The sequence below is a fragment of the Homo sapiens genome, chromosome 21 (genome assembly GCF_000001405.40).
Source record: "Homo sapiens chromosome 21, GRCh38.p14 Primary Assembly".
NCBI lineage: Eukaryota > Metazoa > Chordata > Mammalia > Primates > Hominidae > Homo > Homo sapiens.
In genome coordinates, this window is record NC_000021.9 from 18,319,928 (window position 1) to 18,333,220 (window position 13,293).

General features: G+C 34.2%; 1 protein-coding gene across 8 annotated transcripts in view; it reads right to left on the bottom strand.

Annotated features, from left to right (window-relative positions):
- The window catches only part of TMPRSS15 (transmembrane serine protease 15), a 216,769-nt gene that overhangs the window by 50,812 nt on the left and 152,664 nt on the right, over positions 1 to 13,293 (bottom strand). For all 8 annotated transcript variants that reach the window (NM_001428057.1, NM_001428056.1, XM_047440913.1 and 5 more), the window contains 3 exons: positions 12,157 to 12,246; positions 9,242 to 9,367; positions 6,505 to 6,645 (listed from right to left, as the gene is read on the bottom strand). In NM_001428057.1, the coding sequence (NP_001414986.1) occupies positions 6,505 to 6,645; positions 9,242 to 9,367; positions 12,157 to 12,246 (357 nt within the window). The remainder of the gene's footprint in view (positions 1 to 6,504; positions 6,646 to 9,241; positions 9,368 to 12,156; positions 12,247 to 13,293) is intronic.

The window sequence follows — 13,293 nt, forward strand, 5'->3', positions numbered from 1 at the left end:
CAAGAAAATATTTTTAGAAAGCCATGGCTGGTTGTTTCTACAAACCTTTATACCATGAGAAAATCTGGTTACATATCTCAAAATATAATGCTATTACGGAGGTTCTTGAAAATGTAATTATCAATTTGTTTCACAAACATATTTTTAAACCAGATTAGTGAGATGACAAATGGGCAGAGATAATTACAGATTCTAAAGACAGCATTAATACTTTGACTATATATTTTATCTTTCTGGTATTAATTTTCCTTTAGAAAATTGGAAGTCTTAAATGTAGGTAGAAGTGTTTGTATTCATATATTCTGTCTTAAATATATATTTTAATATACTTTATTTAAAAAGTTGACAGCATGAATTACATGTCCATGATCAATTATATTGATATACTTACAGAATGTTAGTCACCACCCTTTATTTTTAAATTATCTTATTACTTTTTTCATAGCTTACTGAAATCACTATGTAAAAAATGAATTCTCAATGACAATAATTTAATCTTATATACATTTACTGATAATTTTACCCTTTTACTAATGTAGATAGGCAACATTTAATTTGAAAATCACATACGAGTTGAATGGAAACAGACAAATATCTGAATTAAAATTTAAATGATAACATAAAAATGTTTTAAAAATGTAATTCATTTTTGTGCTCTAGCTGAAGCTGTTAGGGTTATATTCTATGAATCCAGAAAAATAATAACTTGTTTCTATAAGCTGAATGAACTGGATGAAAAAATGCTGAATGGGGAAAACTGATCTATTGTTACTGAACTGAACAGAAATTTTAAAATCTGAGAAGTATAAATAAGCTCTTTCAAAATTTTCCTTACACGCATAAACTGGATTCTGATTTTTTGCAACATACAATAGTTCAGCTTCATTAAGCAGTCTTTAATCCAACAGTTTAACTCTCTCTGGACTCTTGAAATCTTATTTCTGATAGTTTTATGCCCATGGTGAGAGAAAGAAAAAGAAATATTGCTAAGAATTGAATTTCCCCATCTCCTTTTTATGAAGTCTCCAGTAGCGTTGCCTCATTTAGTAACATACGCTTGGTTTAAAATGGAACGAAATTGATCTCTAAGCACATGCCACACAATCTGGGGAGGGCTCAAACCCCCTAAATGTAATCAGCTGCTACTTCCACAGTTGCCTGATAAACACTGTTGAATTCCATCGTTAAGACTCTGAGTATCAGAAAAGAGGAATAAGGGGACATTTATAGGAGACAGATCTTAATAAATCTATATTACATATACTTTATTACAGTAGAAATGGAAATGTTAGGAACATAGTACAAAGAAAATAAGATACAAAAATACACTATACAATTGTGTTAAATTTCAACTGGATGCTTGGAAGGTGGCCCTAAAATAGCTCCAGAAGACAAGTGAAGCAAAAACGATTTTTTTCCTTCTTTTTTTTTTTTTTTTTTTTTGAGACGGAGTCTCACTCTGTCGCCCAGGCTGGAGTGCTGTGGCGCGATCTCGGCTCACCGCAAGCTCCACCTCCCGGGTTCACGCCATTCTCCTGCCTCAGCCTTCCCAGTAGCTGGGACTACAGGTGCCTGCCACCACGCCCAGCTAATATTTTGTATTATTAGTAGAGACGGGGTTTCACCGTGTTAGCCAGGATGGTCTCAATCTCCTGCCTCTCGATCCGCCCGCCTTGGCCTCCCAAAGTGCTGGGGTTACGGGCGTGAGCCACGTGCCCGGCCGCAAAAACGATTTTTGTTGCCCATTTATAATTTTTTCTAAAAGAACCACCAAAGTAAAGTGCCAGGATGTGTGTCCAATCTCGCTTTCCCTTACCAGCTTAATTAGCCTCCACAGCCAAGTCCCTGTTTCTGTAATTGCTTTTCAGTCTTTGGGTATAAAAAATCTCGACGGAAGCAGACGGTGCTGATGAAAACTCAATCATTCCATTACTCACTTCCCAGCAGCATCTGTCCTATGTCTAGGAGGAATGTGAAACCACACTCCCCATGTATTTATCATGCAGTGATGGGCATTGAAGACTCCATTCTAGCTTCAATCAGGGGGATTTTCCCTTAAAAATAACTTCATACATTACATACTAATTTAACAGTATAAATGAAATCTAGCTATAGGCAAAAGAAATCTAAAGAATCTATACACCATAAAATTGGTGTCTTTTGCGTTGAGAGAAATACATTGTACTCTGTTTTTGAGTTTGATCTTGAATCAAAGTTGCTGATATTGTTTTTCAAAATCTTTGACATTGTGTTAGTTTCATTATAAGAATCTGAGACAGGAAATAAATGCTGATGAGGATGCAGAGAAAGGGGAACATTTATACACCTTTGGTAGAAATGTAAAATAGTACAGCCATTATGAAAACCAATATGAGGCTCCTCAAAGAACTAAGAAATATAAAAACTAAAAATATAACTACCATATAATTCAGGAGCCCCTCTGCTGGATATTTATCCAAAAGAAAGAAAAGCAGTATATCAAAGAGATATCTGCTCATCTATGTTTACTGCAGCACTATTCTTAATAGCCAAGTTATGCAGTCAACGTAAGAGTCCATCAACAGATGAAAAGAGAGAGAGAAAATGGTATCTTTGCATAATGGAATATTATGCAGTCATAATAAATAATGAAATCCTGTCATTTGCAACAACATGGAGGAAACTGGAGGACATTATGTTAAGTGAAATTGCCAGGCACAGAAGGACAAATGTTGCATGTTCTCATTCATATGTGGGAGCTAAATTAATTGATTTCATGAAGATAGTAAATAGAATGGTGGTCACCAGAGGCTGAGAAGGGTAGTGGGGAGGGAGGATAAAGAAGGGTTTCAATGGGTACCAAAATAGAGTTACATAGAAGGAATAAGATCTAGTGTTTGGTAACACAATAAAATGACTATAGTTAACAATAATTTATGGTACATTTCAAAATAACTAGAGAAGACAATTTGGAATATTCCTAACACTTAGAAATAATAAATGTTTGAAGTGAAGAATATTTCGGTTTCCCAGATTCGATGATTATAAATTGTATGCTTGTATTAAAATATTACATATACTCCATAAACATGTGTAATTATTATGAGTCCATAAAACACAATTTAAACAAACTGTAACTGTAACTTTTGATGGAAGAGATTTGTCTCTGTCTTCCTTTTGACAATCCATTTTCCTCTTTTCAAGTCTTTTCTCCTTTCTCATTTTCAACTTAAAATAGGGGTTTAAAGACCTACTTTTTCTTAAAAATTTTGTTTCAAGATGCTTTAACTTTTGCAGATGGTGGAATGCCATGTGCTGTTAGTTTGTTCTCATGCTGCTAATAAAGACATACCTGAGACTAGGTAATTTATATGAAAAAGGAGAATTAATGGACTTGCTGTTCCACAGGGCTGGGAGAGCTTCATAATCATGGCAGGCAAAAGAGGAGAAAGGCACATCTTACATGGCAGCAGGCAAGAGAGAGCATGTGCAGGGAAACTCCTTTTTATAAAACCATCAGATCTCATGAGACTTACTCATTATCATGAGAACAGCACAGGAAAAACCCACCCCCATTACTCAATTACCTCCCACCAGGTCCCTCCCACAACACATGGGGATCATTACAATTCAAGGTGAGATCTGGGTGGGGACACAGCTAAACCAAATCACCTATAATTATTTCAATTGTTTGGATACCTCAATAAATCTAATCCCTTATCTGTTAGAGCACAGTATTTTTTTAAAAAATCTCAATTACTTCAGGTTTTACTATTTATCTCAGTTTCTTTAAAAGTATAATACTTCTTTCAAAAATCCTTTCCTTGACAGAATTCTTGAAAAAAATTTAGGATGGCCTCCAGTAGAATAGTATTAGGCATTAGGTATTTACTTGCTCTATTTTATGATATTTTGCAGAAGAGAGTACATAATTTTACTGCATTTAAACAAGCAGTTATTGAACCTTGTATATTTTTTAGTTGTGGGATTTTCTCCTTAAAACATGAGAAATATTACTTCATTGTTTTAATGTTCATAATTGAGAGAAATATAAAGCTGATCTTATTTTCAATACTTACAAAAATAATTTTACTTTTTCTGCTAAGAATTTTCAGAAAAATTTCCCTCTTGAAATTTAAAACTTCACACAGAAAATGTTATAACACTGATTCTTGCTCATTAATTTTTTTTTTATTGAACACACTAAGACTTCACGATTTTTCAGGTAATTTTATTCAGATCCAGAAAGCGTATAATTTTTCTTTCATTGTATCTTTCACTATTAGTTTTGATCTGCTTTTATGTTTTCAATTTCAGGAATGTTTATTGTTTTCAAATTTGGTTTGGTGTTTTTTCCTGCATGCCCATTACAGACTCTCATATGTTTCTGTCTCTCTTTACTTATCATTTTTTCATTCTTCATCATGCTTTCCTGCAGCAATTTTTGTGGAAATGTGTGTGTTCTGCACAAGAGGTTTTGAATTGTTGTGCATTAGACCAGAAAACTAGGTGGTTCACACTGCTAACAAAGGCCTCTAGTCAAATCAGAAAGATTTTATTATGGCAGAGTTTCACAGAAAATTGCTATGGCCAAAGACGGCCATCTTCTTCCAAATTTCTTGAAAGGAGACTTTATTGTAACGTCACTTGTGGGAGCTGGTACTGTGCAAAGACTATTCTATCAGGAGCCAAATATTATATAATAATTTAAAAAATTAGGGTCATAATTTTACATATAAAAGTATTGGTGGTAACATTTTGTGTTTTTCTGTCAACTAAAGTTTGCTATTAACTAATTTACTTTCTATATAACAGTAAGAAAGATTTAGCTTTTCTCCAACATTACATAACCAAAGTCTGCTGTATCTTAAATGTGCTCAGTATTAACTACCAAAATGTCCTCAGCTATGTCCATCACCCTTCTATACTTTAAAAGTGTAACTCAAATGTTGAATTAAATTAAAATAATAGGTACACCACAAACAGAAGGAAACTGAAATAGCAGATAAAATAATTGGCAAACAAACATGGTTATAGTATAATCATCAGCAACAAAATAATCAAGAAACAAAATCAGTGATTCAATTCAAGATGACATTTTCAAAATTATCTTGATTAACATTTTCCAAAGCAATGATCAAATTTTCTTCTAAGTTAAATTCTCGCCACACACACACACACACACGCTTATGTAAATACATATCTATTGATATTTGCATCTCAATGTATTTTGTTCTTTACCTAACAAAATCATGTCATTTTCTGTATTTCTTCTTTTTAGTGTACTCTAAGATAAATTATAATTTTGTGTAGATCTCAAAGTATTTACTCATTGTTTTTTATTGATCCATGTCACTGTTGCTTGTAAGTAAACAGATTGGCTTCTAAAATCAGTCACAAAATCCAGATTAATCGATTGAGCTACCACTTACTTCTACCTAAGTAGCATGCATAATATCAGTTGTGCTTCATTTTCAGGGCCAGATGGTAGACCTCTTTATCTGCCATAAAGATTAAGGCAGGCAGCTTTCTGGGATGGTGTCAAAAGCCCTGGTCAGTTGTGAGTGGAGGAACAAAGATAAACATAACCTAATAGTAACTGGATTTTGTATTAGATAATAGGCCAGATGAAGATGAACTATCCAACCCTACCTCTTTTCTAGATATTCAAGTGAAATACATCAATTCCATAAATATTTCTCTTCCTATGGAAGAGAAAGAGAGATGTAGGAAGTAGCATATATTCTGTTTTTCTGACATATTTGCACCTGGAAAGAACCACTGAGTTGCCGGGCAGTTCTATGAGACAATTCATAGTCCAAGTGAAGTATCAAGTTACAAAAAAATTCTCTGCAGATTGTTGAATGCAAATATATGCAAATACTAGATATATGAATATATATATCCATATTCACATATATCCATATATATACACACACATATATACATATATCCATGATGAACATGCCGCTATTTTGTTTGCTCCTGTTGATTATTTTATGGATATACTAAAACACCTAGTGTCGGAGGGTTGGGCACGTCAGCAAATAGCATTAAATTCCTACACTGTGGTGCTTTACTCTGGTTGTCTCCAATAAGTTAATGATGTTAATTATTTAATTGAATGTTGTTGGCATGCCAACAGCTCTCTTGCCTGTTTCCTTCTTTGCTCTCTGAAAATGTTCTTGATATGGGAAACATGACAGTCTTCTTTCCTTAGAGGGTCAAGTATCCTACTTTTAACATTTAACATGGCCCTCTTCAATGAACAAAATTCAACACTCCTTACACATCAGAGAAATCCAAGTAGGTCTGCTTAAAAACTTTTGTGGCTGCCTACTTTGAACGAACTCAGGTAACGGTACTACAGATGTAAAGGAGGAAAAATCATCTTCATTAAGATGAGGAAGAATAAGTGTCACAGAAGGAAAGCATTAAAATCATGATTTTGGCCTTGAAATTCTGTACACCTTTGCTGTTTTGCTCCAAAAGTTATGATGCAATGTGTGATTTATGGGCTCCTACCTGGAATCCCCAAGTGATAGCCAGTAGTAAAGTTTGCTTTAAACCCTCCTCTTGCCAACACATCGTTAGTGATGAGAAGCACAGTCATTCTGTTGGTGGTAGAGAACACATCCTTTACTGGGCCAGGCCCTGTGTACACAGCTGTTCCAAAGGAAAACGAGATAATCAGTGAGATGATCCTTTGGATCTAGAAGGAAATGTACCCCACATCTCAGTTCCCTCTGCCAGACGTAGGGCTACATGTTACATGGCTCGCTCATAGAGCAGCCACAAGTAAATGAACACACACATTCTCTTACATTTTGAACACTTCTCAACAAAGCAAACTTCTCTTTAAATTTTGATATTTCTTGAGGTTTGTGCAACTCTATAATGTAATGATGAATTACTTATAATATATCTGACTTAGTACCACTGCTATTCAAAGCTCATGTTATCCCAGACAAATGACTGACTACTTATAAAGACCTTTATAAAACAATGGAGTTTATAGTCACCTTTACTAAATTTTTGACCAAACATATTCAGTATTTTTTTGTATGTGGAATCATAAACCTAATCTGAAGGATGGATTATTTGGAGATTGGGAATATTAACTACATGGTGGCTTTTAAACCTTTTGCCCTTAATCCCTCAGCTTTGGGGATTTCATAAACAATAAAACATTCTTTACTATATTTCAGCTAATTAAAAAATACATTTATTAAGAAAGTTTTATATGTTGGAAGCCCTGAAAGTGATTCAGTTTCAAAAGACCTTCCTGCCTACAAATTTTAAAACAATAAATCAGAGATCTTTCTGGAATTCTTATTTACTTTTCAATGATTTGTTTAACTATTAACAGATGAAATGATACGTTTTAATTTTTTAGATGATGAGAACTCTGAAGTTTTTATTTGAAGAATAATTTGATCTAAAATAGAAAAACTATTTAAAATTTTTTATAGGTGTATAAAAGAACCAAATTTCAGATTCCTCAGTTCTTGCCACTCTTCTAGTCCCAACAAAATTTTCTTTATTTGTTCTATGTGTGGCTCCCAAAATCCTCTCCCAGGAAGCTCACACTCTAGAACTTTGTGAGATTTTGCTGTAGAATTCTACATAAGGGTTGACTGATGAAAAGGTTGGGGAACCCTCCCCACCACACTGTCCCTTGATGTGCTCTAGAAAATTTTCTCTGGAGTATTCATTGATTAGTTGCAGCATTCATGTGATTGTATCCTGACTGCATATCTATTAGATCAGATTTTACAATACATGATGAATACAAGTCCAAAGCACAGTTAGATAAAACACTTTTTTTGTGTGTGGGAGGGCGATAAAACACTTTTTAGTTGTGCCATGTCATTCATCAAAATTGATCATTTGAGCATCTTTATTTAATGTGTGACTTATCAAGAGACACCTTTTTCTTAAAAATGACCAGTGTGGCCAACATGGTGAAACCCCGTCTCTACTAAAAATACAAAAAATTAGCCGGGCGAGGTGGTGGGCGCCTGTAATCCAATCTACTCTGGAGGCTGAGGCAGGAGGATCGCTTAAACCAAGGAGATAGAGGTTTCAGTGAGCTGAGATCGCACCACTGCACTCCAGCCTGGGTGACAGAGCGAGGCTCCATCTCAACAACAACAGCAACAGCAAAAAATAGTGGTAGTTAGATAACATATTAGCTATTATGTTTGACTGATAGCTTTTTAGTGTGTCAGCATGTATTCTATTATCTATAGAATACACAAAATTTCCTCTATAATAGTACACTCTGTAATAGCACAAAAATTTCCTCTACAAGAGTACACTCTCCCTAGCCTTATTTTAAAATAATCAATAAATAAAAAAGAAAAATAAACTGGTCAATTTTTTGAAGCATTCTCAGGTACCTACACAGAAGCAGCTAGTACTAGAGACACAGCCAAAGTAATAATAAAATGTAAAGTAAAACTCATTAAAAATTTTGTATAACACAATTTGAATAGTTTGAAGTAAAATAAAAACTGATTTAAGAGCTATCTTTGGACATCCGATGTACACATAAAGAGAACTACATAATGGGTGTCCTTAGCTTCTAGTCTCCAATGGGTAGTGCTTGTGGTAGTCAATTAATACCAGCTGGTAGGAACTGATGACTCAAAAATATTGTCCAAAATAGTTAAACTCATGGAGATAGAGAGTAGAATGATGGTTACAAGTGGCTGGAAAGGCTACTGGGAGGGGTGGTGGAGTGAGGATGATCAATGGATACAAAAATATAGTTAGAATGAATAAGATCTAGTATTTGATAGCACAATAGGGTGACCACAGCCAATAATAAGTTACTGCATATTTAAAAATAACTAAAAGAATATAATTGGGTTGTAACACAAAGACAGGAAAAATGCTTGAGGTGATGGATACAGTATTCACACTGATGTGATTATTATGCATTGTAGGCCTGTATCAAAATATCTCATGTATCCCATAAATACACACACCTACTATGTACCCATGAAAATTAAGAACAAATTTAAAAAGTAAAAATAATTAGTCCTGCTTTGTGAAGAACGTTCAAGAAAAATATTCCGTTGTCACTATTTTAAATATACCCTATATTGTAAGTTCCACATAAACTCATGTCACTTTACTATTGTATTTTCATTTTGCAAGTTGTAAAAGAGTGATTACATTAATTAAGAAACGCTCTTTCCATCAGCACAACATCTTGAGCTTTACAACCTTTACAATATTCAGATTGCAGACTTACCTAAGAGCAAGGAATCAGCTTCTTCACCATCTCTTATTTCAACTACATCGTTAATATTTTCTAAGTCAAATTCTTGAAAATGAAGTTGTATATTCTTTCCTTTTTGTGCATTTAAAATCCAAACACCTAAAAAGTAAGAAGTAACATTTAATTTGGAACACACTTGGTGATTTCTCTTAAAAGCTTCACTCTCTTGAGAATTTCAAATAACTTAAAAAAAAATCAATTTTTTTTCCACTTCATGAAAATCAGTGTTTCAAGGTGTTTCTTTTTTCTTTTCATTATTTTTTTTTTGGTAAGAAAATATATTGGTTTAGTCAATTATATTTATAGTAACATTTCAATTAAATTTGAAATTAGTATAATTGATATTTTTATGAAATGGAATACTTTAATCAAAGTTTACAAATATTATTTTACCTCTACAATATAACATTTATGAATATCAAAGGATACTAAAATTATAGTTTCATTTATTTAATTTTCCATGATCAAATTTAGAAGAAAATTAGGTAATTAAAATCCACTTTATAGGACAAGTAAGCTTTAATATTTATTTTAAAATTTTTGCATTTATTTACATTTAGTTCATTAAAAAAACAAAATAAAACAAGACTACCAGCATCAATAAACACTTCTTGTTTTTATTGATTTTGTAAATAATTCAACCTTCAGATTTTTTTCTAGGCTATTCTTCTCTCATTCTGTATTAGTTTTCTCATTCACTCTTAAGAAATATAATTATATTTATATAGTAAAATTTCTGTCTTTATTTTCTGCTCTTTTCTCAGATGCAGGCAAATTTATTGACTTATTTACTGTATATGGCTGTACATATTTCAAATCCAACATGTTCTAAAGAAAAAGCAGAATTATCTCTTTTGCAAACTCATTTATCTTATTCTTCCTATCTCAGTGGCACTACTAATCATCCACTCATAGTTCTCTATGCTTGAAACCTCAGCACCTTCCTTGACCTCCTTTCTCCTACCACATCCGATCAATCACCTAAGCCTGTTATTACTACCTCCAACATCCTTTGAACCCCATTTACTTCTCAACGTCCCTTGCCACCACAACAGGAGTTCAAATCACTATAGTTTCTCATCTCCTAATTGGCGATGCTGATGATTCTCATCCCTTACCATCGATCTCTGATCTAAAATGCAAGCTCGTTTTTATCGCCATTTTCCTGTAAACCATTCAAAGACTCTCCAGTGCTCTCAGAATAAATTCAAACTTCATAACATGGTGTAAAATTCTTTCACACTTCTAATTTTACCCATTACCATTATTTAATTTTTCTTGGAGATTCAAGAAACAGTTGTCTCCTACTTTGGTATGTCAAGGACTCTCCACAGAGTCCTGCCTTTACCCTTATTATAACAGTATTTTGGACATTTTGTGCCTGACAACATATCTGAGTCACCATCTATACTGTGCTACATTTGTGTCTTCTTTACTTACTTCAGATTAAGGAAATAAAGTATTGAATACACATTCGTCAAATAAACAAACATTTTTAAATTTAATAAATTTCTCCAAATTGTTTAAATGTTCCACTTCTTGTTGGATTTTTCAGATTATCACTTTGTTCAAATGATGTTTAAAAGATGTCTTCAGGCCGGGCACGGTGGCTCAAGCCTGTAATCCCAGCACTTTGGGAGGCCGAGAAGGGCAGATCATGAAGTCAGCAGATCGAGACCATCCTGGCTAACACGGTGAAACCCCGTCTCTACTAAAAATACAAAAAAATTAGCGGGGCCTGGTGGCGGGCGCCTGTAGTCCCAGCTACTCGGGAGGCCAAGGCAGGAGAATGGCGTGAACCCGGGAGGCGGAGCTTGCAGTGAGCCGAGATCGCACCACTGCACTCCAGCCTGGGCGACAGAGCGAGACTCCATCTCAAAAAAAAAAAAAAAAAAAGATGTCTTCAGTGTGAAGCAGAGATAACTCTGTTTCCCCAAAGAAGTCAAATTAGATTAGTTGCTGTTTATTTTTTGGGGATGAGGTATTTGTCTACAATATTGGCCCTATATGCACCTATGAAAGTGATGCTCTCTTATCTCTTGATCATCTGAAGGAGCAAGGTTGGCTTTTTCTGAAGACACATTTTTCCCACCACTGAGGCATTTCTTTCATTGACAGAATTTTCCATTTAGCTTAGTGGCCTTAACAAGGCACGACCATGGAAAGATGTTTGTTACCCAGTCCAGACTCCTGAAGTGGAACCTTTGTAGGATGGGCTAGGGAATCTGCATCTCCAACACAATCTTTATGTATCTTTATATGAGTTTATCTATTTAGGAACATTGATGTAGAGGTAGTCTTTATGCAGTTTTAGCAAACTATTTTCTCTAGACAAATTTTTTAGTGATCTTTCTTATAATTTTATTTTTTATACTGGAAATAATTACATTACTGTAGCTATCTGCTTTATTGGCTCTAGTGTATATTTGCAAAAAGTGTGAATGCTACAACTGGTTCTTTACTTTTTAATACTTTCCATTGTCTTTGTCCTATGAAATTGCAAACTTGTTAAACACACTATAGACATTATATGCACAAACAAGGAGAGTGATTTAGAAAGCGGTGTCTGGAGTAACACTGGTTCTCTCACTGTTGTTATTCAACTTCTAAATTTGGAATTATAATAATGACACCTGCTTCAAGAAGTTCTTGTGGGAAATGAATGAAATAATGTATATTGGGCATTAACACAGTGCCTGGCATGAAACAAATGCTATATATATTTAGCAATTATTGTTATTTTTGTTGTTATATTAAGCAATCTTATAGGTAGACATGATAGGCGTACCCATGTTTGACAAATTTATAATCTACTTTGCTGCGTCAAGGGGAGATCTACATTTCATATGGACATTTGTTTCTGATGACCTGGAAAAGAAATGACTCACAGAAAGCCAGATTAGGGTAGCTGTTTGGAAAGTTCGTAGAACTGAATGTTGTATTTGGCTCCCACAGCTCAAAAGGTCCTCCACAGTCCGCTGAAAAGGAAAGCAATGGGAAATCATCAGTAATACAATGTTTATTTCAGAGAGATAATACCATATGCCAGCGAATTTTCAATTACATTTCTTAGAATACAAATTTTGGCAAGTAAATTTTAGAGTCATGTTAGGGTAAATGCTGCAGTTTAAGTAAAGGAAAAATACAGTTAAGTAGATAAGAGCTCTAATGATCAGTGATGTTGAGCTTTTTTTCATGTGATTGTTGGCCGCATGTATGTCACCTTTTGAAAAGTGTTCATGTCCTTTGCCCACTTTTTTGTGGGGTTGTTTATTCTTTTTCTTATAAATTTAAGTTCTTTATAGAAGCTGGATATTGGATCTTTGTCAGATGCATAATTTGCAAAAGGTACCATCTGACACCAGTCAGAATGGCTATTAGTAAAAAGTCAAAAAATAACAGATATTGGACAGTTTGTGGGAAAAAATGAACACTTATAGACTGTTGGTGGGAATGTAAATTAGTTAAACTATGTGGAAGACAGTGTGGTAATTTCTCAAAGACCTAAAGACAGAAATACAATTTGACCCAGCAATTCCGCTACTCGGTATATACCCAAAGGAATATAAATCATTCTATTATAAAGACACATGCACACGTTTTTTCATTGCAGCGCTATTCAAAATAGGAAAGACATTGAATCAACCTAAATGTCCATCAATGATAGACTGACTAAAGAAAAGGTGGTACATATATACCATAGAATACTATGCAGTAACAAAAAATAATAAGATCATGACATTTGCAGGGACATGGATGGAGCTGGAGACCATTAACCTTAGCAAACTAACACAAGAACAGAAAATCAAATTCTGTATGTTCTCACTTATAAGTGAAAGCTAAATGATGAGAGCACATGGACACACAGAGGGAAACAACACACACTGGGGCCTTTCGGAGGGTGGAGAGTGGTAGGAGGGAGGGGAATCAGGAAAAATCACTTGTGAGTACTAGGCTTAATAGCTGGGTGATAAAATAATCTGTACAACCAACCTCCATGACACGAGTTTACCTGTGTAACAAAC